Source organism: Homo sapiens, chromosome 9 (assembly GCF_000001405.40).
Source record: "Homo sapiens chromosome 9, GRCh38.p14 Primary Assembly".
Lineage (NCBI taxonomy): Eukaryota > Metazoa > Chordata > Mammalia > Primates > Hominidae > Homo > Homo sapiens.
The window spans coordinates 125,360,921-125,387,866 of record NC_000009.12 but is presented as its reverse complement, the minus strand read 5'-3'; the positions used below and the strand labels follow the sequence as shown (position 1 = coordinate 125,387,866).

General features: G+C 47.4%; 1 protein-coding gene across 56 annotated transcripts in view, besides 2 other annotated features; it reads right to left on the bottom strand.

Annotated features, from left to right (window-relative positions):
* Positions 16,289-16,789: an enhancer, noted in NCBI's record as "H3K4me1 hESC enhancer chr9:128133357-128133857 (GRCh37/hg19 assembly coordinates)". NCBI's record gives its function as "activates a minimal SCP1, AML or CMV promoter by ChIP-STARR-seq in primed H9 embryonic stem cells {active_cell/tissue: H9 hESC(primed)}" and the evidence as "EXISTENCE:reporter gene assay evidence [ECO:0000049][PMID:30033119]".
* Positions 20,660-26,946, bottom strand: part of GAPVD1 (GTPase activating protein and VPS9 domains 1) — a 105,382-nt gene continuing 99,095 nt past the window's right edge. For all 56 annotated transcript variants that reach the window (NR_148732.2, NR_148733.2, XM_047423183.1 and 53 more), the window contains one exon: positions 20,660-25,261. Coding sequence is in view for 54 of the 56 variants with exons in the window: in XM_047423183.1 (XP_047279139.1) it covers positions 25,121-25,261 (141 nt within the window). In the remaining 2 variants the exon portion in view is untranslated. The remainder of the gene's footprint in view (positions 25,262-26,946) is intronic.
* Positions 25,723-26,017: an enhancer, noted in NCBI's record as "tiled region #13338; K562 Activating DNase matched - State 12:CtcfO". NCBI's record gives its function as "activates a minimal TATA promoter and a strong SV40 promoter by Sharpr-MPRA in K562 cells {active_cell/tissue: K562}" and the evidence as "EXISTENCE:reporter gene assay evidence [ECO:0000049][PMID:27701403]".

Genomic DNA, 26,946 nt, shown 5'->3' with positions numbered 1-26,946 from the left:
AATCGTGTCAGGCCATCCCCATAATGAATCTGCATCCCATAATACCCGCAGTGGCTTTGCTTCCCTGATTGAACCCCGAGTGATACAGTGGTTGGTACTGGTGATGCTTCCAGGAGAAGAGAATCTTAAGGATGGGAACTCAGCATCAGTTCTCCAATCTCAGTGGATTTAGAGGTGTTCAGATCCTGCTGCCGGGGACTACACTGGGGCTCCATGGCACACAGTAGTGGAGCAGTTACATAACCCCTGGACCCAAGGCCCACAGAGGGCTCGGGTGACCAAGTCACTACTGGCATCAAATGTGTGGGTGGAAATAAAGGGCACAGGGACTGTGGGGTCACTTGGTTGCCTCTAAGTGCACTGGAAAACTAATGAGAAAAAGAGATGAGCTCAGGGCTTTGAATTCCCAGATCAAGGTTTTTGTTTTTTTGTTTTGTTTTGTTTTGTGTTTGTTTGTTTGTTTGTTTGTTTTGAAAGGGAGTCTTGCTCTCTCGCCCAGGCTGGAGTGCAGTGGTGCGATCTCGGCTCACCACAACCTCCGCCTCCCGGGCTCAAGCAGTTCTCCTCTCTCAGCCTCCCAAGTAGCTGGGACTACAGGTGCATGCTACCACGCCCGGGTAATTTTTGTATTTTTAGTAGAGATGGGGTTTCACCATGTTGGCCAGGCTGGCATCGAACTCCTGACCTCAGGTGATCCACCCACCTCAGCCTCCCAAAGTGCTGGGATTACAGGCATGAGCTACTGTGCTCAGCTCCCAGATCCAGTTCTGAGTGAAGAGCCAGACGTTGTCCCTGTGCCTGGAGACCCTTCAGTGCCCTGAGACCCTTTAGTGCCCCCTCCTGAGGTGGCCTCCACCTCCCATTGCCTCATCACAGGCGCGGGTTCATTATTGCTGGAGTGGGTTTCTTTTTTTTTTTTTTTTTTTTTTTTTGAGACAGAGTCTTTATCTGTCACCCAGGCTGGAGTGCAGTGGCGTGATCTCGGCTCACAGCAACCTCTGCCTCCCAGGTTCAAACAATTCTCCTGCCTCAGCCTCCCAAGTAGCTGGGATTACAGGTGTCTAACACCATGCCTGGCTAATTTTTGTAGGTTTAGTAGAGACGGGGTTTCACCATGTTGGCCAGGCTGTTCTTAAACTCTTGACCTCAGGTGATCCACCCACCTTGGCCTCCAAAAGTGCTGGGATTACAGGCATGAGCCACCATGCCTGGCCTGGAGTGGGTTTCTTATAAAAGGGTAAGTTTCCATCCTGGCTAACACAATGAAACCCCGTCTCTACTAAAAATACAAAAAATTAGCTGGGCGTGGTGGCGGGCACCTGTAGTCCCAGCTACTCAGGAGGCTGAGGCAGGAGAGTGGCGTGAACCCGGGAGGTGGAGCTTGCAGTGAGCCGAGATTGGGCCACTGCATTCCAGCCTGGGTGACAGAGCGAGACTCCGTCTCAAAAAATAATAATAATAAAAGAAGAAAGGATAAGTTTGGCTCCTTTTGCTCTCTCTTGCCCTCTCTGCACTTCTGCCATGGGATGACACAGCCAGAAGGCCCTTGCCAGATGCTGGTCCTTTGATCTTGGATTTCCCAGCCTCCAGAACCATGTGCCAATAAATTTCTGTTCTTTATAAATTACCCAGTCTATGGCATTCTGTTATAGCAGCAGAAAATGGACTCAAACAGCAGCTAAAAATTTTAACAACTTGCTAAATGTGGAGTGCGAGCTACTGTGAAGTATAGAATCTCCAGGAGCTGCAGACACAAGGAGAATTTTTACCCACTCTCAGGTTCTTCTCTAGGTACATCACCAGGTGCTCATAAGAAAGGTTGGGGCAGGGCAAGAGGTCTGAGAAAGCCTCCTGCAGTCCCTGCAAGAAAGCACGAAGCTCCACTCACTGTCTCTATTTCCATTCTCTCCTTTATGGGACAAAAGACTTAAGCAGTGGGGTCAAGGTGGGAAAAGCCCTCAAGGCACAGAGGAAGACCCACTGCAGGTGAGGGAATCAAACAGAAAAACCCTCTTAATTTTAGGGGAAGGGCAGAAATACATCCTGGGCTCAGACTATTAGATCTCATCTGCTACTGGGGGAGGAGAAGGAGCTCTGAGACCCAGCTCCTGCCTAAAACTGGAGCTGACCCAGAATAATGGAGAATGCCATTCCAGCTCGCCAACATCCCCGCAAAAAAAAAAAAAAAAAAAAAAAACATAAAAAAGGCTTAAAATCACTAATAACAAGTTACAGTTGTGGGTCTACTGCTGGGGGAAAGGCAAGAATGCAGGGAGAGATGCTCTCTTGGGAGCAAATGCAAAGAGAAGACCTAAAACTGAGGGTAGGCTGGGTGCGGTGGCTCACTCTTGTAATTCCAGCACTTTGGGAGGCCGAGATCAGGAGTTCGAGACCAGCCTAGCCAACATGGTGAAACCCCGTCTCCACTAAAAATACAAAACATTAGCCAGACGTGGTGGCACGTGCCTGTAATCCCAGCTACTCAGGAGGCTGAGGCAGGAGAATTGCTTGAACCCAGGAGGCAGAGGTTGCAGTGAGCCGAGATCACGCCACTGTACTCCAGCCTGGGTGACAGAGCGAGACTCCATCTCAAAAAGAAAAAAAAAAAAAAAAACTGAGAGTGGATCGGACATTGGGAAAAAACCTTCTAGCAAGTCAGGCCCCACTCTAAACACTTAGTGATATTAGAGGAATGTCAAGCAATCTGAGAAAGAAAAATGGGCAAAAGATTTGAATAGGCTGGGTGTGGTGGCTCACACCTGCCATCCCAGCACTTTGGGAGGCTGGAGGATCACTTGAGACCAAGAGGTCAAGATCCTGTCTCAAAAAAGAAAAAAAAAAAAAAGATTTGACTAATACATTACATCAAAGAAGATACATGTATGGTAAATAAGCACATGAGGAGATGCTCGATGTTGTTAGTTAAGCAAAGTGATGCTAGAGAACTGTGGGGCCCTGAGGGCAACAGAGCAACACCAAACCCCAAAGCCAGCTTAACTCCTGGCTAGACTGACCAGCTCCCTACCTGAAGGGCCTGGCAAAAGCAGCAGCATTAACCAGGCACAGGGGCTCACACCTGTTGTTTTTTGGTGTTTTTTTTTTTTTTGACAGTCCTGCTCTGTCGCCCAGGCTGGAGTACAGTGGCGCAATCTCAGCTTACTGCAACCTCCGCCTCCCAGGTTCAAGCGATTCTCCTGCCTCAGCCACCCAAGTAGCTGGGATTACAGCCGCCCGCCACCATGCCCAGCTAATTTTTGTATTTTCAGCAGAGATGGGGTTTCACCATGTGATGGCCCCATCTCTATGCCATGCAGCTGTGTTTTGGGAGGCTGAGGTAGAAGGACCACCTGAGGCCAGGAGTTCAAGACCAGCCTGGGCAACATAGCAAGACCCTGTCTCTACAAAATATAAATAAATTAGCCAGGCACGTGGAATATGCCTGTAGTTCCAGCTACTCAGGAGGCTGAGGCAGCAGATTACTTGAGCTCAGGAGTTCAAGGCTGCAGTGAGCTGTGATTGTACCACTGCACTTCAGCCTGGGCAACAGAGCAAAACACTGCTTAAAAAAAAAATAGAAGAAGTAAGCCCATTTTCAGGTGTAAATGCTATTTACCTCAGTCTCTACTATCCTATACAAGATCCCAGCTTTCAATCAAAAAAATACGAGACACACAAAGAAGCAAGAAAAGCAACACACCGTCAAGGGATAAAGCAATCAACAAAATCAGACTGAGATATGACCCAGATGTTGGAACTTTTAGGGAATTTTAATAATTATGATTAATATGTTAAAGGCAATGGGAGAAAAGGTGAGTAGCATGTACCCACAGTTGGGGAATTTCATTAAAGAGATGGAAACTATAGGAAAGAATAAATAAAATGCTAGAAATGAAAGTCACAGTAAAAGAGAATGATGTTGACAGGCTCATCAAAAGACTCAGCATAGCTGGGGAAGTAATCAGTGAACCTAGGCCACGAGCAGTGGCTTATGCCTGTAATCCCAGCACTTTAGGAGGCTGAGGTAGGAGGATTGCTACAGGCCGGGAGCTTGAGACCAGCCTGGGCAACATCGTGAGACCCTGTATCTATACAAAACAATTTTTAAAAATTAGCCGGGCATGGTGGTGCATGTCTGTAGTCCTGGCTACTTGGGAGGCCAAGGCCATAGGATCATTGGGGCCCAAGAGTTTGAGACCACAGAGAGCTATGATTGTGCCCCTGCATTCCAGCTTAGGTGACAGAGTGAGACCCTGTCTCTAAGGAAAAAAAAGAAGAAAAAAATAGGGGAGGGAAAAAAACACAGAAACAGAACAGAGCATCCTAAAGTTAGGAGACAATATAAAACAGTCTTAAAAAATATATGTAATTAGAATCCCAGAAGAAGAAAAGGATCAGATGGATGGAAGAAATATTTAAATTTAAAACGCCAGGCCAGGAGCAGTGGCTCATGCCTGTAATCCTAGCACTGTAGGAGGCTGAGATGTGAGGGTCGCTTGAGGCCAGGACATTGAGACCAGCCTGGTCAACATAGCGAGACCCCATCTCTATATTAATAAAAGTAAAAAATTATAAAACGCCATAAATTTTCCAAAATTAATGAAAGACATCAAATAACAGATCCAAGAAGCTCATGGACATAAATGTAAAACCTAAAACTACAAAACTTCTAGAAGAAAATACAGAAGAAAACCCTTGTGACCTTGGGTTTCTTTGCTACAATACCAAAAGCACAAAGAAAAAAATTGGTGGCCAGGTGCAGTGGCTCCTGCCTGTAATTCCAACACTTTGGGAGGCCGAGGTGGCTGGATCACTTGAGGTCAGGAGTTTGAGACCAGCCTGGCCAATATGGTGAAACCTCGTCTCTATTAAAAATACTAAAATTAGCCAGGCATGGTGGCGCATGCCTGTAATCTCAGCTGCTCCTGTGGCTGAGGCACGAGAATCGCTTGAACCCAGGAGTCAGAGGCTGCAATGAGCCAAGATCGCACCACTGTGCAACAGAGTGAGACTCTGTCTCAAAAAAAAAAAAAAAAGAAAATTTTCCAGAAAGTAAAAAGACAACCTGCAGAATAGGGGAAGACATTTCCAAATCATATATCTGATACGGGGTACTATCCAGAATATATAAAGAACTCCTATAACTCAGCAACAAAGAAACCAAGCAACCCAATTTAAAAATAGTTAAGGACAGCCAGGCACAGTGGCTCACGCCTGTAATCCCAGCACTTTGGGAGGCTGAGGGGGGCAGATCATGAGGTCAGGAGATCAAGACCATCCTGGCTAAGACGGTGAAACCCTGTGTCTACTAAAAATATTTTAAAAATTAGCCGGGCATGGTGGCGGGCACCTGTAGTCCCAGCTACTCAGGAGACTGAGGCAGGAGAATCAGGAGAATGGCGTGAACCCGGGAGGCAGAGCTTGCAGTGAGCAGAGATTGCACCACTGCACTCCAGCCTGGGTGACAGAGTGAGACTCCGTCTCAAAAAAATAAATAAATAAAATAAAAATAGGTAAGGCCCAGGTGTGGTGGCTCATGCCTGTAATTCCAACACTTTGGGAGGCCAAGGCCAGTGGATCACCTGAGGTCAGGAGTTCAAGACCAGCCTGACCAACATGGTGAAAACTCATCTCTACTAAAACTACAAAAATTATCTGGGCATGGTGGCGGGCGCCTGCAGTCCCAGCTACTCAGGAGGCTGAGGCAGGAGAATCACTTGAACCCAGGAGGCCGAGGTTGCAGTGAGCTGAGATCACACCACTGCACTCCAGCCTGAGCGACAGAACAAGACTGTCTCAAAATAAAATAAAATAAAATAAAATAAAATAAAATAAAATAAAATACATTAATTAAATTAAATAAAAACATCGCTATGATAATGCAGTGAATACCTGGGAATGTGGCTTTAGCTGGAAATAGGGTCTTTGCAGATGTAATCAAGTTAAAATGAGGTCCTTAGGGTGGGCCATAATCCAGTTTGACTGATGTCTTTATAAGAAGAAGAGAGGCCCATAGGAAGAAGACGGCCTTGTGACAAGAGACAGAGACTGAAGTGAGGCAGCTGCAGGCCAAGGAACGCGAAGCGTTGATGGCCACCACCAGAGGCTAAGAGGCCATGAAAGACCCACCTAGCGTCTCAGAGGGAGCACGGCCCTGTTGACACCCTGATTTCAGACTCCAGTCCCCAGAACTATGAAAGAATAAGTTTCTTTTTTTTTCATTTTTTTTTTTTGAGATGGAGCCTGTGTTGCCCAGGCTGGAGTGCAGCGGCACGATCTCAGCTCACTGCAACCTCTGCCTCCCAGGTTCAAGCAATTCTCCTGCCTCAGTCTTCCAAGTAGCTGGGACTACAGGTGCCCACCACCATGCACGGCTAATTTTCGTATCTTTAGTAGAGACGGGGTTTCACCATGGTGGCCAGGTTGGTCTCAAACTCCTGACCTCAAGTGATCTGCCCACCTCAGCTTCCCAAAATGCTGGGATTACAGGCATGAGGCACCGACCCCGGCCAGTGAAAGAATAATTTTCTGTTGTTTTAAGCCACCCAGTTTGTGGCATGTTGTTGGTGACTGGAATGCCAGCATTCCTGCCCATAAACCTAGAATGACTGTGGAGAGACTGCATTCGCATAAGGATATTTTCATTGTCCAGGGAGCGTGGAGCTCCTCCCGGGCCAGCAGAGGTGCTGCCATCGGTCTGTGGAAGTGGACTCAGCTTCCTGCCCCCCAGCTGGCCTGCTCTCCAGACGCCTGAGGGACTGGGCCCCGGAATGCACTGTTTCTCCAAGCCACAGACCCTCTGCTGTGACAGTCACCATCCTTCTAGGTACTTCCAAACCCCTGCAGAGGCTTTGAAAATGCTCCTTCATGGCTGGGCGCGGTGGCTCACACCTGTAATCCCAGCACTTTGGGAGGCCAAGGCAGGCAGATCACTTGAGGTCAGGAGTTCGAGACCAGCCTGGTCAACATGGTGAAACCCCGTCTCTACTAAAAATATAAAAATTAGCAGGGCGTGGTGGTAGGTGCCTGTAATCCCAGCTGCTTGGGAGGCTGAGGCAGGAGAATTGCCTGAACCCGGGAGGGGGAGGTTGCAGTGAGCCGAGATCAAGCTACTGCTTCTGCCTCAAGGTAGGGACCCCACAGGAGTTGGGGAGCTGTTCTCCAGGTGGAAGAGGCAGGATAAAGGCCGAGGGGAGCCCGGGTATTTCAAGCCACCCCGCTCTGGGGAATTTCCTGGTGACACATGCACAGCTCATGCACTCTGAGCCTGACAGCCTGGAAACCTGTCATTCCCAGGACCGTTCTCCAGGGACCACCCCACCCCCAACAGATGGAAGGACCTGATCTGCAGCAGACAAGCACACCTGGGGGACCCAGAGACATCCTGGTGGGAACCACCCCTCACACACGGGCCTGGCGAAGCCTCTCCTTGAAGAGGCCTCTTCTTCCCTCACTGTCTTCATCCCTCTGGTCCCTACCCCCAAGGTCTGCTGGCTCAGCACCCTCTGACAGTCCAGTGAATTCATCCATCTGGAAGGGAGGTTCATGCAGCCTTCTGGAGCTAGGAACATTCTGGAAGGGGGTCCAGGCCAGTAGGAAAATAAAGCATGACATCAAGATTCTGGGCTCTCTTGGCTGGGCACAGTGGTTCATGCCTGTAACCCCAGCACTTTGAGAGGCTGAGGCAGGCATATCGCTTGAGCCCAGGAGTTTGAGACCAGCCTGTGCAACATAGTGAGACCCCCTCTCTACAAAACAAAAAAACAGAAAACAAAAAAACTTAGCCAGGTATGGTGGCATGTGCCTTTGGTCCCAGCTACTTGGGAGGCTGAGGTGGAAGGATTGCTTGACTCCAGGAGGTCAAGGCTGCAGTGAGCCATGATCGTGCCACAGCACTCCAGCCTGAGCAACAGAGTGAGACCTTGTCTAAAAAATAAAAAGAAAGAAAGAAAGAAAAAAGAATCTGGGCTCTCTTGAGCTTGAAGCTTGAAGTCCGGGTGCATGTGTGTGTGTCTTGCGTGCGTGTGTTTGAGTGGTTGTGTCTGTGTGCACATGTGTGAATGTGTACTGAACTGGAACATAGGCACTCTCTGAATTCAACAAGGCCCACTCCAGATGGCTTTCCACCCTGAAACTTTTTCCCTAGGAAATGCATTTAAACACCATTTCACCTCCTTTCTTTCCCCAATCACTATTGGTCACAGTGGTCCCAGCCTCCGGTCCTCCAATCAGAAGGTCTTTTTCTGCCTGGTGCTCCCCAGCTCGTGACCAACTTCCAGGTAGAGTAAAGGATTAAATGGAAGGCACAATAAGAAGTGAAACAATTAGAATTTCTGCCTCATTATCATGGTAATCTTATCAGTCGGATAATGAGGTATTAATGGAGATTTAATGTGCATCTCATAACAGAATCCCTTGGAGAAAACACACAGGGAAATTGCTGTAAATCCACTTAATGATGGAGAAGTCCCAAAACACCATATTCCAAAGGATGAAAAATGCAGGATGCAAATGAGAAAGAATCAAGGTCAATAACACCACGGGGACGGGCCTAATGGCAGATTTGGAGATATATGTAATAAAAATTGCATGTTGCTTTTAAACCTCACCCTCTGTTGTTTTCAAATGTGCATTCCTAGTAATGAAACACAGACGTGCAGCCAGAATGATTTGTATGTTTTAGAAACCATAGGGGGGATGGAAACATGTCTCCAAACCCATCAGGCCCTCCATGGGGAGCCATGGGAAACGGGGTGTTTTACCGGGAGGCTTCCAAAGGAAGTGGGGCAGAGGAAGAGCCCGTCTGAGTTCAAGGTCATTTGGGAAACACCAATGGGAGGAAGACAAATGCATTTACTTCCACTCCTTCATTCAACAAATGTTTATCAGCCGCTGACCAGTCAACCCGGAAACACAAAGGACACACATAGATGCAAAGCCCAAAGCAAACGCTGCAATGGAGAGAGCGCCTACCACTGCTGAAATCCCTCCGTGGATCACTCAATTCCATCAGCAACATGGGGAAGCAGAAACAATTAAGATCCCCGTCTTTCAGATGAGAAACTGAAGCTCAGAGAAGCTAGGTGCCTCATGTTGCTCCTGGGTCTGAACATTACCAGTACTCTATTAGGAGGAACCCTGTGAAATGTCCCGTATTCATCTGCTTGAGATCTATAAAAAGGGACATGGCATAGGGTTCAAGCTAATATTTTATTTCCTGGCTGGGGATCCTTTCTAGACATGGGAGAATGTCTAACAAGAATGACAGAATCAAGGGACAGGAACTAGGCACTGAGCTGAGGATGGAAGAATCCAAGGAGCTGCCAGCTCCATGGCCTCACAGGGGACAAGGGACAGATCCCTCTGCTCCTCCCACAGCTGCTGAACTCACATGTCCCACACCAGCAGTGGGTACTCAGCACGTGGAAAGGAAGATCCGAAACATCCCACACACTGAAAGCACTTCATGAATCGGAAAATGCTAAGCAAACGTTGGCTGTTTGGCTCTTATAATTTATTGATGATAATGAATAACCCTTGGGCCTCCCAGATGTTTCCAGGGATTGAAGGTAAAGTTAGCTCTATTTTTAGGAACTCCGATAAGAGGAGTTTCAAGGGCACCAAGAGCAGGGTGACCAATGGTCCTGGTTTGCCTGGGACTGTCCAGGACCCTGAGAATCTAGCCTTCCCTCTTGGGTAAGGTGACCAACCATCTCAGTTTGCTCAGGATTGAGGGGTTACCTTGGATGTGGGATTATTCAAGACCCAACCTAGAATGGAGGCAGCAGGCCGGTTCCAGCCAGCGCTGGGCAAGGAGCCTCTGCCTGCCAGGCTCCATGCTGGAGCCCTAAGGGAGCAGCAGCTACAGCCTTTGCTTGTCATGGGCTGTCTGGGGAACCCTGGGGCCTCTGTCTTTGTGACAGCCTATGTGTGTACAAGGGCCAAGGAGGAAGACATAGAAGGACACTTCAGCACACAGCTATTAGCAGGGTTCCAGAAGGAACACTGAACATCCAACGTGTCCCTTATTCCTTGCAGGAATCCTGGCAGCCAGGAGCTCGTGAGCCCGCTTTACAGATGAGGAAACTGAGACACAGGCTAGTGAAGGCACTTGCCCAGCATCACAAGCAGCCAGTGAGCCGCTGAGGGGCTGAAGGATGACAAGACCCCACTTAAGGACAGGTGTAGCCCCCAGAGAACAAGTCAGTCCGAACCAGGGAAAAGGCAGAAATTAGCAACATTTCTGGAGTCTTGCAGCTGTGTTCCGTTTAATCACAGACTGCAAATTGAATGATGTTAAGGCAGTGTTGCCTCTTTGAATTTCCCCCAAGCCCTGTTTAATGAATAAATAGGCGTGATTTGTAATTAGCTTAGCCATCGTGCGAATGCTTCCAGAGCACCTGAAGTGAGTTAAACATGCCCCCTGCAAACTTGTCGACAGTATTCATTGACTCAGCAAACCTCTCTTCCTGGTCCACCGTGCATGCGACCAAATAATCACGTATCGCTCTGCCGTGGACATATTGAGAAAAATTGGGATTTTGTTGGTCTGGAAAGATGGAGACACAGTGTCTTCATCAGTCCTGCCTCCCAGGTGGGAGCTGAACGCTGCAAGCTCAGTTTTTGTTGGCAAATGCTAAGAAACCCCCAGAACAATCTCCCATCCCCTCCCTGAACCAGCCTTGAAGAGAATCCCACAACCACCAGCAGGAAAGTCTGGTGGCTAACGCCACCCTACGGAGGGGTGGGAAGCTGGGCCCTGGGTCTTCACCAACCCGGGCTGCCTTTCTTTTGTGAAAGCAGCTGCCTGATTCCCACAGCTGCAGTTGGAGTCCACTAACTCCTGCCAAGCTACCAGGCGCCCTGCACCATTTATCCTGTAATGGTGGCTGCATATCAGTTTTGCCTAGTTTCCGTGCTAACTATGTGGCTGCTGCTGAAATTCCAAATCCTAATATTCCCCTGCTCCGGGCAGGTGGGAGGGCCCCTCGGCACCGGTAGCCTTCTTGATTACCCACATGTTTTCCAGCAAAGGGGTTTCCATTCATCTTCATCATGGGCTCAGTCTGTGCACAGAGAGGAGGCATCCGCCCTGGCGGGGCCTCTCCACCCAATCACCTGGAGGCTTTCCCTCATCTGTTCCTCTGCCTTCACAGCCGCATTTATATTCCGCCTGCCCTGCTGCTTCCTCCCGGGCCTGCGGCGGATCCTCAGCGCCAGGCCTCCTCCCTCTGGGCCCTGCCTGCGAGCCCAGGTGCCAGCCTGCTGCAAAGAGGAGGCGTGGGTCACCCACCCCTTCTCCTCCTGAATCAGGAGGTGGAGACTGTCGGTCTGTCCTTACCATGACCTTGACACTGGGAAGTGGCCCTGGGCCCCGTGTGGAAAAGCAGGTCTTCCCTGCTCTGGCAGCTCAAATTCAATCTGATCTGCTGATGCCGGCTGGGCACCAGGCTTCATGCTGGCACTACAGATGCCCGGGTGTCTGGCCCTGCCCTTGACGGACTCGAGTGCACATGGGAAGTAAACACCAGGATCAGGATAATAAGGACCTGCTGTGGGCACCATCCTCTACAGTTTGCTCCCCAGTTCACATGAGCCCTCACAATGCTGTGGGGCTGGTTTTGCAGAGGGCAGACAGGATCCCTCAGTAGCTAAAAGTACAGATTTGGGCATCCTCTAGACCTGGATTTGGATCCTGGCTCTGCCATGCATTTTCTATGTGGCTTTGAATAAACCCCTTTGCATGTCTGAGCCTCGGCTTCCTCATCTGTGAAGTGCAGCCCTTACAATGCCCACTACCAGGTGAAGGCTCTGTGACGTCATGTGGGAAGCGTCAGCCCCGGGCCTGCACACGGAGTCTCGCTGTCACCCAGGCTGGAGTGTGGTGGTGCAATCTCGGCTCACTGCAACCTCCACCCCCCAGGTTCAAGCGATTCTCCTGCCTCAGCCCCCCAGGTAGCTGAGATTATAGGTGCACGCCACCACACCAAGGCTAACTTTTGTGTTTCTTTTTTTTTTTTTTTTTTTTTCTGGAGATGGAGTTTCACTGTTGTTGCCGAGGCTGGAGTGCAATGGCGAGATCTCGGCTCACTGCAACCTTCACCCCCCGGGTTCAAGTGATTCTCTTGCCTCAGCCTCCCAAGTAGCTGGGTTTACAGGCACGCGCCACCATGCCCAGCTAATTTTGTATTTTTAGTAGAGATGGGGTTTCACCATGTTGGCCAGGCTGGTCTTGAACTCCTGACCTCAGGTGATCTGCCCGCCTCAGCCTCCCGAAGTGCTGAAATTACAGGTGTGAACCACCACCCGGCCTAACTTCTGTGTTTCTAGTAGAGACAGGGTTTCACCATGTTGGCCAGGCTGATCTCAACTCCTGACCTCAAGTGATCCGCCCGCCTTGGCCTCCCGAAGTGCTGGGATTACAGGCGTGAGCCACCATGCCAGGCCATGAAGAAGGTTTTGGAACTCGAGGCATGGCCATGACTAACAACACAGGCGCCTCCCCAGAGCACCTTCCCAGAGAATGGGACAGGTGGCTCCCACAGTTCTCAGGACTGTGTCCAGTGAGATCTTACAGTGTTGGCACCTGTGGGCTGGGCTCAGGTCACTGGCTGTGGCTCAGGGCTGTTGCTGCATCTGTAAGATTGGAATAATAACCTTGTCGTTGGGCTGCTAGAGAAAAGCTTTATATCGGGAATAATGATTATTTGCCACAACGCAGGGTGGGCAGAGAGGAACCTGGTGTGTCTGCCTCGGGGGGCCTGGGTGAATTCTGGGCTCCAGCCACAGCTGTCTCATGAAGGGCTTGGTGCAAGCCCATTCGGGGTCTGAGAGCCGATTCCCTGTTCAGGAGCCCCCTGCCCTCCTGGGCATCCTCGAAGGCGCCCCAAGGCTCCTCCAGAGAGGGCTGAGGGCTGCCTTTGCTCCTCCTTTTCAGCCAATGGTTTGTACCTGTCCTTGGCCACAAGATGTCACCCAAGGAACAGCAAAGCCGGGGCCTGGGAGGAAACTGGCCGACGGCAGACTCGCGGGGGAAGGGGTCGGGGATGGTGCGGAGAAGCCGCAGAGGCAGCGTGCTGCAGTGGCTGCAAATCTCGGGATTTCTAGCAGAACGGGGCGCTGTTGCCCTCAGAGGACGCCGATTTGTAGATGCCACCTAAAGATAATAAATTCGAAAATAATAAGTAAATAGGGACAAAAATCCCACCTTCCCAGAGTAAAATTAAACCCTGCTAGCCAGATAAAGGGCTGCAAACAGACAAGACACTTTGGTGTGATCAGGGCTGCAACCCAGGCAGGCACTGAGCTGGGCTCCAGGCATCCTCATCCCGGCCCTGTGCTTGGTGGGGTGGGAGCAGACACAGGAGAGGTGTGACCTGGTGTGGCACAGCCTCTGCCCCACCTAATTCTACCCACTGGAGATCAAGGGCTTTGGGGCACTCTGTCTTCCCAGAGGACGTGAAGAACTACCTGGCCCTGGACCACGACAGGGATAGTTCCTGTCCCAGCAGGGCCTGAATTTGGAAGGAAAAGATGGTGGAATCCCCGCCCTGAAGGGCTACTTTCTGCCTCTCATCCATCCCCATCTGCAAACATTAGGGACACCTGCCATTTGGAGGCATGCCCTCCCCTAGGAGCACAGGCTCCAGGGAGACACTGCTCTGGAGAGGGAGGGATGGGGGTGAGGCCTCACTGAGGAGGGAGGCAGGAGGGGGCACCTGGGGTTTTCCTCCAGAAGGGCCATCTGAGGCAGGAGGAAGGACTGTGGGGGAGGCAGTCAGATCTGGGCATCAGCAAAGGCTTAGAGGCCGGCAAAGGGCAGCACTTTGGGAAAGGTGATAGTTCTCAGTGGCTGGAGTGGGGCTGGCTGGAGGGGAAGGAGAAGGACCAGAGGCATGTGGCTGAAAAGGCAGGACAGAACCCAGGTAGAAAAGAGAAGATTTTAGGCAGAAGAGGAATCTGCTCAGACTTGATGAATTTTTTTGTTTGTTTGTTTTTGAGGTGGAGTTTTGCTCTTGTTGCCCGGGCTGGAGTGCAATGGCGTGATCTTGGCTCACTGCAACCTACGCCTCCCGGGTTCAAGTGATTCTCCTGCCTCAGCCTCTCGAGTAGCTGGGATTATAGGCATTCACCAACACGCCCAGCTAATTTTGTATTTTTAGTAGATACGGGGTTTCTCCATGTTGGTCAGGCTGGTCTCGAATTCCTGACCTCAGGTGATCCACCCACCTCGGCTTCCCAAATTTCTGGGATTACAGGTGTGAGCTACCGTGCCTGGCCAGACTTGATGAATTCTAAGGGCACCTAGGAGAAGGGGTGAGAGGGAGGCAGGGAGACTAGGAGTCAGTCGTGATTGTGGAGGTGGAAAAACTGGCTGTGGCAGCGGGGGACAGGTTTAAGAGACATTTCCCAGCCAGGCGCGGTGGCTCACACCTGTAATCCCAGCACTTTGGGAAGCCAAGGCGGGTAGATCACTTGAGGTCAGGAGTTCGAGACCAGCCTGGCCAACATGGTGAAACACTGTCTCTACCAAAAGCACAAAAATTAGCCAGGCATGGTGGCGTGTACCTGTAGTCCCAGCTTCTCAGGAGGCTGAGGCAGGAGAATCGCTTGAACCCAAGAGGCAGAGGTTGCAGTGAGCCGAGATTGTGCCACTGCACTCCAGCCTGGGCGACAAAGTGAGACCCTGCCACACACACACGCACAACACAAAAGAGACATTTGCCAAGGGCCCCTCAGGAGGTTTGGGCAATCCAGAGCCTGGGCCAGGGAAGAAGGCTGGGCAGCGGCAGGCATGAGTGACAAAGAGGCGTGTAGGGTGGGGCACATAGGGATGAAAGTATCTGGACCCAGAAAGGCATCATGTGTCAGGAATCACTCCACTGTGGTTACTGTTTATGACCACAGTGGAAAGGGACTTGAGCTCACAACCCAGCCTGTTAGTTGATAAACTGCCTCCTGGGTACAGTGTCCAATATTTGGGTGATGGGTAGGCTAGGAACCCAACCCCATCATTATGCATGTAATACCCATGTAACAAACAAGCACAGGTACCTCCTGAATCTAGAATAAAATAAAAAAATGGGTTCTCTTGGCTGTCCATGGTGGCATCACCCCTGCCATCAAGGGGCTGCACCCCACTGAGTACTTGCCGCCCTTGGCCAAATGCCTCAGTCAGACGCAGATACCAACCAGCAGGGACTGGCAAGAACTGTGACAGCTGCAGGGCTGGGTGCTGCTGCTCTTGCCTTTGCAGGTCGCTGTGCGTCGCAGTCCTGGAAACCTCTAGAACAAGGATCACAGAAGCAGTAGAGAACCTTTGAACTCCTAGCCTGTCATCCTATTACAAAGGAGGATTTGAACAGAAAATGAGTAGGAGAAAAGCTAGTGTTATTTTAGGTGTAAGTTCACCTGCTGGCAAGGCTAAGATTAGAGCAGCTCACAGGAGAATCGTGATTTTGAATCACCCAGATAAAGGTGGATCTCCCTACTTAGCAACCAAAATAAATGAAACAGAAGATTTGCGAGAAGCGACCACCGATCACCGATGGATGCTCAAGAACCCCGCTGAGGAAAAAAGGCAGGGCGCCTTTAAAAAATCCTGCAAATCAATCTACAACATGATCTTCTTAATTTTCATACATGCATAGACCACAATCTTTTCTTCTCCCATTAAGCTATTATAACAATAAAAGATTAATAATGTCCAGGCGCGGTAGCTCACACCGGTAATCTCAGCACTTTTGGAGGCTGAGGCAGGAGGATAGCTTAAGCCCAGGAGTTGAAGACCAGCTTAGGCAATATAGCGAGACCCCACCTATAAAAAATACAAAAAAATTAGCCAGGCGTGGCGGCATGCACCTGTAGTCCCAGCTACTCAGGAGGCTGGGGTGGGAGGATCACTTGAGCCTGGGAGGTCGAGGCTGCAGTGAGCCATGATCTTACCACTGCACTCCAGCCTGGGTGATAGAGCAAGACCCTGTCTAAAAAAAAAAAAAAAAAAGATAAATAGTAACAACCACCAAAAAGGGCTCTGAGTGTCTGCCCTGTGCACAGGTGGTCCTTGTGCTCCTGGCAAGTCCAGCGCAGGCCCTCCCTGGCAACTGCCCTGCTGACCGGTGTCAGAGGAGGCACCTTTCCAGGATTCCCTGGCCTGTCTCCTCACCCACAATATACCAGGTTAAAAAGAAGCTTGGGCCAGGCACAATGGCTCATGCCTGTAATCCTAGCACTTTGGGAGGCCAAGGCGGGCAGATCACCTGAGGTCAGGAGTTCGAGACCAGCCTGGCCAACATGGTGAAACCCCCATCTCTACTAAAAATACAAAAATTAGACGGGCATGGTGGCATGTGCCTGTAATCCCAGCTACTTGGGAGTCTGAGGCAGGAGAATTGCTTGAACCTGGGAAGTGGAGGTTGCAGTGAGCCAAAATCGCGCCATAGCACTCCAGCCTGGGCAACAGAGCGAAACTCCGTCTCAAAAAACAAAAAGCAGCTTGGGGCCTGAACTTGTGTTCAGTGGCAAGACTATCAAGTCCCCTCTTGAGTCAGCTCAGTGGGCAGCCTTCCTGATCAAGGGTTCCGGACACCCCCGTGCTCCTGGCAGCCTCCACTGTGTCCCTGCACTTTAACCACCCCCTCCATTAAAGGCCAGTACAGGAGAAATAGTTCAAGATTTTATGTAGATGGTAAAACTGCAGGGGATCCGTGAGGTAATAAAGCCCAAATCAGGAAACGCCTTCAAAGGAGTTGCCACTTGCCTTAGGTCTGGTTAGAGACAGAGCTCAGATTAGATCCATCTTCCAGTTCCTGAGCCTAGCAACATAACCAAACACCGCTGGGAACCTGTGGCTTTTCAGTAATGGCGGGAGTGGCCCAGGGAGGGAAAGGACTAGTTCAGGCTCATTGGTATGGCCCACTTAGCTGTGGAGGGGCTTGTGGCAGGGGCATCCCTGAGGACGCTGCGACAATCGGATGGCCCTGAGCACTTCCTGTCATCTGTCCCCTTCCATTGCACTCTTCTCCTCACAGCATGCTGCCCCAAAGCAGCAGCAGCAGATGCAGCCTCTGCTGTCACCGCCACAGCCACACGAAAAGGAAAATAGGGTCGCCAGTGATCAAAATGTAAAGGGACCTAGGGGAGGGAACCCAGGCATGGAAGTCCACACATCAAATGTGGGAGGAGAAGTAGAAGAGGAGAAATTCTTTTACTTTCAGCAGAGGCAGCACTGGGGAAACAAAAGTGAAGTCAGAGGTCAAGGGCTGTGGGAACCAATGCAGTTATTTTACATGGGACACCAGTTATGAATGGTCACAAAACAATCAAAATGAAACAACTGGCTGGGCGCGGTGGCTCACGCCTGTAATCCCAGCACTTTGGGAGGCCAAGGCAGGAGATGACTTGAGGTCAGGAGTTTGAGACCAGCTTGGCCAACATGGTGAAACCCCAGTCTCTACTAAAAATACAAAAATTAGCCAGGCATGGTAGCACATGCCTGTAATCCCAGCTACTCGGGAGGCTGAGGTGGGAGAATCACTTGAACCCAGGAGGCAGAGCGTGCAGTGAGCCGAAATCGCACCACTGCACTCCAGCCTGGGTGACAGAGTGAGACTCCATCTCAAACAAAAAACCCAAAAACAAAACAAACAAACAAACAAAAAAACATTTTAAAAGCTTAAACACAGAAAGATTAGACTCTAAGAATTTTTCATACATAAATTTGGGTATGTCATTGAACACCATGATTCTCTGGAAATGTTTAGCAATTTGAGGCTAAGGAAACAGCGTTACATAACAGGCAGTTATGAGTAAAGAAAATGCTTCATTCTAAGCATATAAAAAGAGCTATCCTTAAAGGAATCATTGGATTGGCTGTAGGCTAACAATTCTCATTCTTTTAAAGGGGCTTCCCCATTCATGCTTATTACCCTTGTGAGCTATGAAGCCAAGTGTTTAGGAGTTAACCACTTTCACAGTGGATCATACATTTTCATGAGTTTCAGTGAGATGGGGAGCTTGCTAGAAATGCAGATTCCTGGCATCTTCCCCAGAAATTGATTCAATGGGTATGGGGTGGGATCATGAGTCTGTGGTTTTATGAACCTCCCCAGGTGGGCGATGAGGGTAGGCGGGCCACTGGTTCATTCTTCATCAAGTGCAAGCTCTCCTGGTGCTTCTCAAACTCTCTTGGAGAGGCTGGGCATGGCAGTTCACACCTGTAATCCCAGTACTTTGGGAAGCTGAGACAGGAGGATCGCTTGAGCCTGGGAGTTCAAGACCAGAGAGGGCAACATAGCAAGCAAGACCCCATCTCTGAAAAACTTTTTTGAAATTAGCCAGGTGTTGTGGCATGCACCTGTGGTCCCAGCTACTCAGGAGGCTGAGGCAGGAAGATCACTTGAGCCCAGGAGTTTGAGACCACAGTGAGCTAGGATCATGCCACTGCACTCCAGCCTGGGTGACAGGGTGACACCCTGTCTCAAAAACAAAAACTCTCTGGAAAATAAAAGTCACTGGGAGGACTTGTTCAAAGATTCCTGGTTCCCTCCCCTATGGACTCTTATATACCAACAAGAATACCAGGTGATTCTCAACAGGGAAGTTTGGGAAACAGTTTATATAGTATAACTCCCTAGAGCACCAAATCCTGGGCCCCATCCCCAAAGATGATCTAGTTGGTCAGGGTGGGTCACAGCATATATTTCGACCAGCAATACGCTGAATTCCTAAACAGCTAACAGAAATAAGATTACCATGGTTTTCACATTCATTGTTTACAACAGGTCCAAGGACTTGGAACTGAGAGCTGTTTCCGCTTTAGCATAAAATGTGGACGGTGTTCTGGATCTCCACAATAGCCTATATGGTTCTTTGGTCATATATATTTTTTCTTTTTTTAGAGACAAGATCTCGCCCTGTAACCCAGACTGGAATGCAGTGGCCCAATCTGCAGCCTGGAACTCCTGGGCTCAAGCCATCCTCCCACCTCAGCCTCCCAAGTAGCTGGGACTACAGGGATGTGCCACCATGCCTGGCTTATTTAAATTTTTTTTTTTTTTTTTTTTGTACAGACCAGGTCTCATTGTTTCCCAGGCTGGCCTCAAATTCCTGAGCTCAAGTGATCCTCCCGCCTTCGTTTCCCAAAGTGCTGGGATTACAGGCATGAGCTAAAACACTTTCTCTGGGCATGGGTCTTTTTTTTTTTTTTTTTTTTTTTTAAATCTATGGGCTATATTTTACTACCCTAAGTGGATGGAAAGGATTCTTCTGGAATGAAATAAGTGAAGCAAAAGCTCTTCGCTGAATACTTCAATCCTTAGGTGGAGGACACATTTATGGCCAAGAGGAGCTTCAGCCCTGGTTTCTCTCTACAGGATCACCACCCATTTTGCAGCAGTATGGCAGGCAGGCTCGTGAAGCTAGTGTCAGTAGCTCAGCATCCTGTGAGGAAAAGCTACGGAGCCCTGTACTTGCGGAAAGGGTTGAGTGGGTACAAGCGTAACAGCAGTCCAAGCGACACAGGTAAATTCCAAGTTGGCAAGAAAAGCTGAATGCTATTTTTGGTTCTAGGCGTCATACCACTCGTTTTAATATTGAAGAGTGGGCCGGGTGCGGTGGCTTACACCTGTAATCTCAGCACTTTGGGAGGCCGAGGCAGGTGGATCACCTGAGGTCAGGGGTTCGAGACCAGCCTGACCAATATGGCGAAACCCCGTCTCTACTAAAAATACAAAATCAGCTGGGCGTGGTGGCGCATGCCTGTATTCCAGCTACTCAGGAGGCTGAGGCAGAACTGCTTGAACCTGGGAAGCGAAGGTTGCAGTGAGCCAAAATCGAGCCATTGCACTCCAGCCTGGGTAACAAGAGCAAAACTCTGCCTCAAAAAAAAAAAAAAAAATACTGAACAGAGCAAATGGAAATGGGCCGTAAGCAAGTTTTTAACTATTTCCTTCTAAATGAAGTGCAATCAATATAAGAAAAGCGCCTTCTCACCAGCAAGGGAAGCCTGAAGAATGAGTTAGTACTCCTTGTCAAAAGTAACTTCCCTTGGCTGGAAAGATTAATAAAGGCCTAAATGAATATTGTGATTAGATGGCAACACTTTTGCTTTCAAAATGAAAAATGATAAATAGCTACCAAATATAGGCATTAGGCAGAAACTGTTAAATCCATAGATGAAGGTCTGGGTGCAGTGGCTCACGCCTGTAATCCCAGCACTTTGGGAGGTTGAGGCGGGCAGATCGCTTGAGCTCAGGAGACTGGGCAACATGGCAAAACCCTGCCTCTACAAACAATACAAATATTAGTCAGGTGTGGTAGCGTATGCCTGTTGTCCCAGCTACTGGGAAGGCTGAGGCTGGAGGATCTTTGAGAACAGGAGGCAGAGTTTGCAGTGACCCTAGATCCTGCCTCTGCACTCCAGCCTGGGCGACAGAGCCAGGCCCTGTCTCAAAAAAAAAAAAAAAAAAACCCTTAGATGTTCACCATTGTGTTAGTTACTGCCAGGTCATTCTAGTTCCTTCTTGTGCCATACTTAGCAAACACCCTTATTGTTCAGATAAAAAAGATGTGTGTGAATTCACGGAGAACATCAGAACATTCGGAAGTCAAATACGTTTTCAGAAATGCTTCTGAATATAAAATAGATGACAGAAACATAAAACCCTGTGAATCAAACTGCTCTCCCCTTTTAATCAGTTTTATAGAATATTTTACAGTACTAATCACATTAGGAGACAGGAGGGGTTTCCTGTACATATACAAGATTGTGCAAGCTCATTAATTGAGACTTATAGAAAGGTTTTATCTGTTTCAAAAGAGGCAGTACAGCTTTTTAATCCAGGTGAAGCACAAGAAGAATCCAGTAGACAGGAGAGTATTAATTTGACAGAGGTGAATTCCCCTAGTGCATGGCCGCTACCCACACTGTCTGCCATTATCCAAGTGGAGACGTCATCTCTCTTGAATTGAACCCTTGCTGAGCTCAGGCCTGTGGGATGCGGCAGCTCCAGGGTCACTCCATAGCTCAACCACAACTTAACACGGAAGCAAACTATATTTTCATTTATCCAAGTGTTCTCAAGAGTAATAAAGCTATTCCTTGTCCTACTACTTTCTAACCTACATTCTAAAATATATTAAGTAATTTTTAACCTGGCAAAGTTCTCAAGCATTTTGGCATTTAAAGTAATCGCAAATACCTCATCACTGTTAATCCACTTACTAAAAATCCTTTGGGCTTCAAGATAGTTTCAGATTTACTTCCCTTAAAATTAAAGCAATTGCGTACAAAATAAACTCACTAGACTTAAATATTTAAAAAGAGAGACAACAGCCTTTTCTTTAAAGAAACAAAGCAGGAAGAGATGGGAGAGAAAAATCTAGGAAGCACCAATTGAGGAAGTGAACCCCACTACACTTCTATCACTTTTATGCAATCCAGTAATAATTCTGAGTGTATTCCTACTTTCCCTCTTCACACCCAATCACATAGGAGAAAAACAATTTTAAAACACCTAGTTGACCTTACTCGGTCCAAAGTGGAAATTTCCATGGCAAACAATAGGAAAAAGAGTGCCCGGGTTCAGCACACCAGTCAGCTACAGATTCTTACGGCAAGAACACAGCCCCCGTATTGGGGCTGAGATTGTTCTCTTGCTCACGCACCTCAGGGACACATTTGTAAAGCCCACTTTAAACAAAGGCTTCCAGGACATAGGAATAGAAAAACCATGCAGCACATTTGCAATCCCTTAGAAAACCTGAGCCTCCTACTACAGCGATTTAACTATCTGTATCAGAAGGCCTTCATAAGCAGGTTTTTATAAAGAAAAAGCAGAAGAAAGCAATTACTGTGGCTGAGATTTTACCTAAAATGGAGAAAGAAAGCAAAATGTTTGACACGTTTAAATATATATACATATAATTTTGTGGTTGGGCACGGTGGCTCACGCCTATAATCCCAGCACTTTGGGAAGCCGAGGTAGGCGGATCACTTGAGGCCAGGAGTTCGAGACCAGCCTGGCCAACATGGCGAAACCCTGTCTCTACAAAAAATACAAAAATTAGCTGGGTGTGGTGGCATACACTTGTAATCTGAGCAACCAGGGAGGCTGAGCCATGAGAATCACTAGAGACTGGGAGATGGTGGTTACAGTGAGCCGAGATCACAGCACTGCACTCCAGACTGGGTGACAGAGCAAGACTATGTCTCAAAAAAAATTAAAATATAATTTTGTAAGTAAAGACAATCTTCAACTTGTATTTCTATTACTTCTAAAAGCAGAATATTAATACAAAATGCAAACCTGATTTTTCTTTTCCTCAGAGAAGTTAATCCTACAAGATTTCAGGGGACCTGAGCCAACTCTCTCTCCATTTAACATCCACTTTATAAATTCTATGTAGTAACTAGTGGCTGCTGAATGTTTCCTGGGCTGATTTTGTACTTTTACACTAATCTTTCATGTAAAGAAAGTACTGGAAGGCAGTGGAGGAAGAAACATTTGGGGAACAACTATTCCTCTTTTCTATTAAAAAAAAAAAAAAAAATCAAATCACTCCCCATCTCACATACCTGTCAAGAAATCAAACAGTGATGGTTAATGCCAAAGTAGTCCTTGCTCCTGACAGATTTTCAGAGGAAACCTTAGCTGCCCCTGCAACAGCTGTGCTGTGCTCCTCCGCCAGCTATGGAGTCATGAGCACCCGAACCCATTTCACAGGTGTCACAGATGTCAAATCTCTGGGGGGTCTACCCTCAGCCCCGGCTCCAACACAGCACAGCCCTATCTCCTGCCTCCAGTGTAGCCCTTCACCCCAATCCCACCACCTTCTCTTCCACAGAAAAGAGCCCCGATGCAATGTCCACATCTTCATATTTATTTCCACAGTGTTAACATGGAATAGACTTAGCAACCATTGCAGAGAAAAAAAAAATCTCTCATTGGTTTATGAGTTAAATCCTGTAACAATGAATTTCAACCATTCGAAGTCTTCTGCTGCTTAACATTTACTGAATCAAAGGCTGAAGTAAATGGACTCTCATCTAGGTCTCAGAAATCACACAGCTGGCCTCGTGATGTATTTACGATGGGATTTAACTTCTAATACAAGGCAAGTTTGACAGTTACAGCCAATGAAGTGCACGACTCTGTACATGGATTTCTTGACCTAACATTCAAAAGGACATTTCATAGTACTAGTTTAATTCTGATCTCTCTCTAGAAGGCAGAAACCACATCCCACACTCCTATGCAATTTGTTATTTTGGTATTGTAAAGTAAATGAATAAGAAGGGGTGGAGGCATAAAGAAAATCTAGTTTCTGGCTGGGCAGGGTGGTTCACGCTTGTAATCCCGCACTTTGGGAGGCCAAGGCGGGTGGATCACGAGGTCAGGAGATTGAGGATCATCCTGGCCAACATGGTGAAACCCCGTTTCTACTAAAAATACAAAAATTAGCCGGGCTTGGTGACATGCGCCTGTAGTCCTAGCTACTCGCGAGGCTGAGGCAGGGGAATCACTTGAACTGGGAGGTGGAGGTTGCAGTGAGCCAAGATCGCACCATTGCACTCCAGCCTGGGCAACAGGGTGAGACTCTGTCTCAAAAAAATAAAATAAAATAAAATAAAAACAAAGAAAAAAAAATAAAATCTTTAGGCATTCCCAGACACAAAGATCTCAGAGACAGACAACAGAGAGCCTCCGTGTTCATCTGCCCGAGGCTGTTTGTCACAGTTCCCTTAAAAGATGCCTGGAAATGCTCCCAACAACAAGGGACTCAAGTATGGGGCTGAGTTTGTTAAAAAAGCAGCTAAATGTGTTTAGGAAACACACGAAGTGAAACCAGACAGTGATGGCCCATGTACAAGACTTGTGCTTGAAGCTTTGGTGTGCCTCCATGGCCAATTTTTCAGGCACCAAAACCCATTCCTGATTAATTATTGATATACAATGCAAACCAAACTATGAAAACACAGACTTTTTTTCAGAAGAGGGAAATAAAGGCACAGAAACCTGCCAAAATAGATATTTTTTTCCATAAGAATAGTATGGTTGATTAAAATAGTTTATCACTAGTAAAACTTGTATCACTAGAGCAGACAATACAAATTAGTTTTTTAAAAAATGACATTCACTGAATTCTTGGTCTGTGCATTCAATGTGAATAATCATCAAAAATATATTACAATTAAAGGTTTGTAAGGAGCTCTGTCTGGGATTTCTGCAGTATATTATTTCGGAGGAGAAGAACCACCATAAAGTATGAGCTATCCACTGTTCCTTTTTATGTCATGTATGGTAATCAGTCTATCTCCTAATGCAGGCTCACAAACTTCCACGGTGAGATGTCTAAGTGACTTAGTGACCTTCACACTCATTAAAGGCAGCCCTGTCCATCAAACTCCATACCTAGAAAGTTCAATAAACTGTATTACATTTTAATAAATATTTCTGTGTACTTTTTGTTTTTTGCTTTTAAGCTCAGCTTAAATTTTGTCAAGGAAACCATTTCACAAGACAGTATGTCACAGCCTACTATCAGCAATAGTCCTTGTTTATTAGAATCTGCAGATGTCCATATTACATCAAATATAAATATATATTATATTTACATTTCCTTCTTAGCTTTCAATTTAGGTGAGTGTATTTATAGATAATGCCACTAACGCACCACTATTCTAATCCTCAGTGCAACTCATACCTTCTTTCCATTAGATGCTCATTAATGTAAGACAGCATCTTAAAAGAGGGGTACTGTTCTTTTTTAAAATAAAAGGAAAGAAAGGGAATCCAAGAATGGAGGTCTAGACATTTCCTAAGAGATTTTTGTTTTGTTTTTTATACTTAGAAATACTTGAAAAATGTGGTCCCTTTTTGTAGTACTAGTCTCTACTTGGGGACAAGAAAATAGAATATGCAACTCAGAAAGGAAAGAGCCCAAAGACGAGAGAACCTGCTTGTTAGCTCATTAACCTGTTTAGTAAAGATCTGCTTTAAAATGCCTGATGCTGTGCAGTATCATACAAAACAATCTTCAGCCTTCAAAGCAGCTGATGCACCTTCTCAGAGATCTGTTTGTCTGATTAACAGTCTGCTGCCTTGGTGGGCCTTGGTCTTGGTCACTTTCGGTCATCGATGGTTTTAATGAATTCTACTGCTGCTGTGAACTGCATCCACCAATAGGACTCCTCTCCAGACAGACAGCTAGCATAAAAGCTACTGATATACTGCACAGTAGACAGCAAACAGGGTGGATTTGCCTAGAGAAGTGAAAAATAAAAAAGAATCAATTACTCAGATGTCATAGCTCTGCCAAAATCATTTAAGTGTTCTTCGAATGTTCTTCTATGAAAGACATACCAATCCTTTTGAAAACAACCCCAAAGTTATTTTTTGGAAGTAATCTGTGAACCCTAGTTTCCATGAGTAGCAATAATATGCTGGAAAGGCAACCCAGGTTCTAATCTCAGCTAATCTATCTAGAGGTTTCTATCCTTGCAAGTCCTTAACCTCACTGATTTCTAAGAAGGCTGAACTAATCTCTGTGGTCTTACTCAACATCCCCGGATTTCAGAATGTTAGATAACAAAATAAATGCTGTAGGCAAATTGAGTTATATCTGGTAAGTCCAGGGAGAATAAGCTGAGAAAGAAAAAACTAAAAAAGATGACATGCCCTCTGTTGCCAGAGGTAACAGAGGACATCTCCTGAATTTTTTTTACCTTTTTCATGTGGTGAGAAAGGGCACAGGCTGTTAAATGGTTAAGAGGAAGAGCTAGGGCCTTTTCCTTAAAACTAGCTTAAACTGGCTCTACACAGGAACTAGATTTATCACATGTGGAAGCCAGAAGAGCGATGGCCAACAGGAGGAGCTGTGACGACCAACCCCATGGGTTTCTCCCTCCAAGCTAAGTGTTCAGGTTGTAGAAATATCACAACACTAAGAAATAGTAAGACATATGTCACACACACTTTAGACAGCAACAGCTGGGCTGAGCTGACTGCAACACACAAGTGATACGATCACTTAGTGGCTGTGTGCACCCAAACTACATGGTCACCCTCAAAATGTTCAAAATAAACCATTTAAATGATGAAACTTTAATTTTAAAGTCAACAAGAACTAGAGATGTCAGTACTTTTATACTACAATTACAAAATAAGAAGCTAAAAGAGGAAGGAGATTGGTAAGTTTGGTAGCCTATATGACAAGTACTGCAAGGAATTCCATATTAAAGAAGATGGTAAAAGTATAATATAAAGAACCTGCCCTCATCCATTCATCCAATAATTATATACTGAGCCCCAACTAAGAACTTCAGGCACTGCTTTTTTTTTTTTTAAGATGGAGTCTCACTCTGTTGCCCAGGCTGGAGTGCAGCAGTGTGATCTCGGCTCACTACAAGCTCTGCTGCCCAGGTTCAAGTGATTCTCCTGCCTCAACCTTCCAAGTAGCTGCGATTACAGGAGCCTGTAATTTTTGTATTTTTAGTAGAGATGAGGTTTCACCATCTTGGCCAAGCTAGTCTTGAATTCCTGACCTCGTGATCCACCCTCCTCGGCCTCCCAAAGTGCTGGGATTACAAGCGTGAGCCACCGCGCCCAACCTAGGCACTGCTTTTTAGCTGAAAATGTTCATCTAGGAATCTAGTCCTCCCATCCTTTCTTTCGAAAATCCTAAGGTAAGAACAAATCTTGGCTGGGCGCGGTGGCTCATGTCTATGATCCCAACACTTCAGGAGGCTGAGGCGGGCGAATCACTTGAGGCCAGCTGGAGACCACGAGACCAGCTTGGCCAACATGGCGAAACCCTGTCTCTAGCAAAAATGAAAAAAAATTCGCTGGGCATGGTGACGCACGCCTGTAATCCCAGCTATTTGGGTGGCTGAGGCATGAGAATTGCTTGAACCCAGGAGATGGAGGTTGCAGTGGGCTGAGATCACAC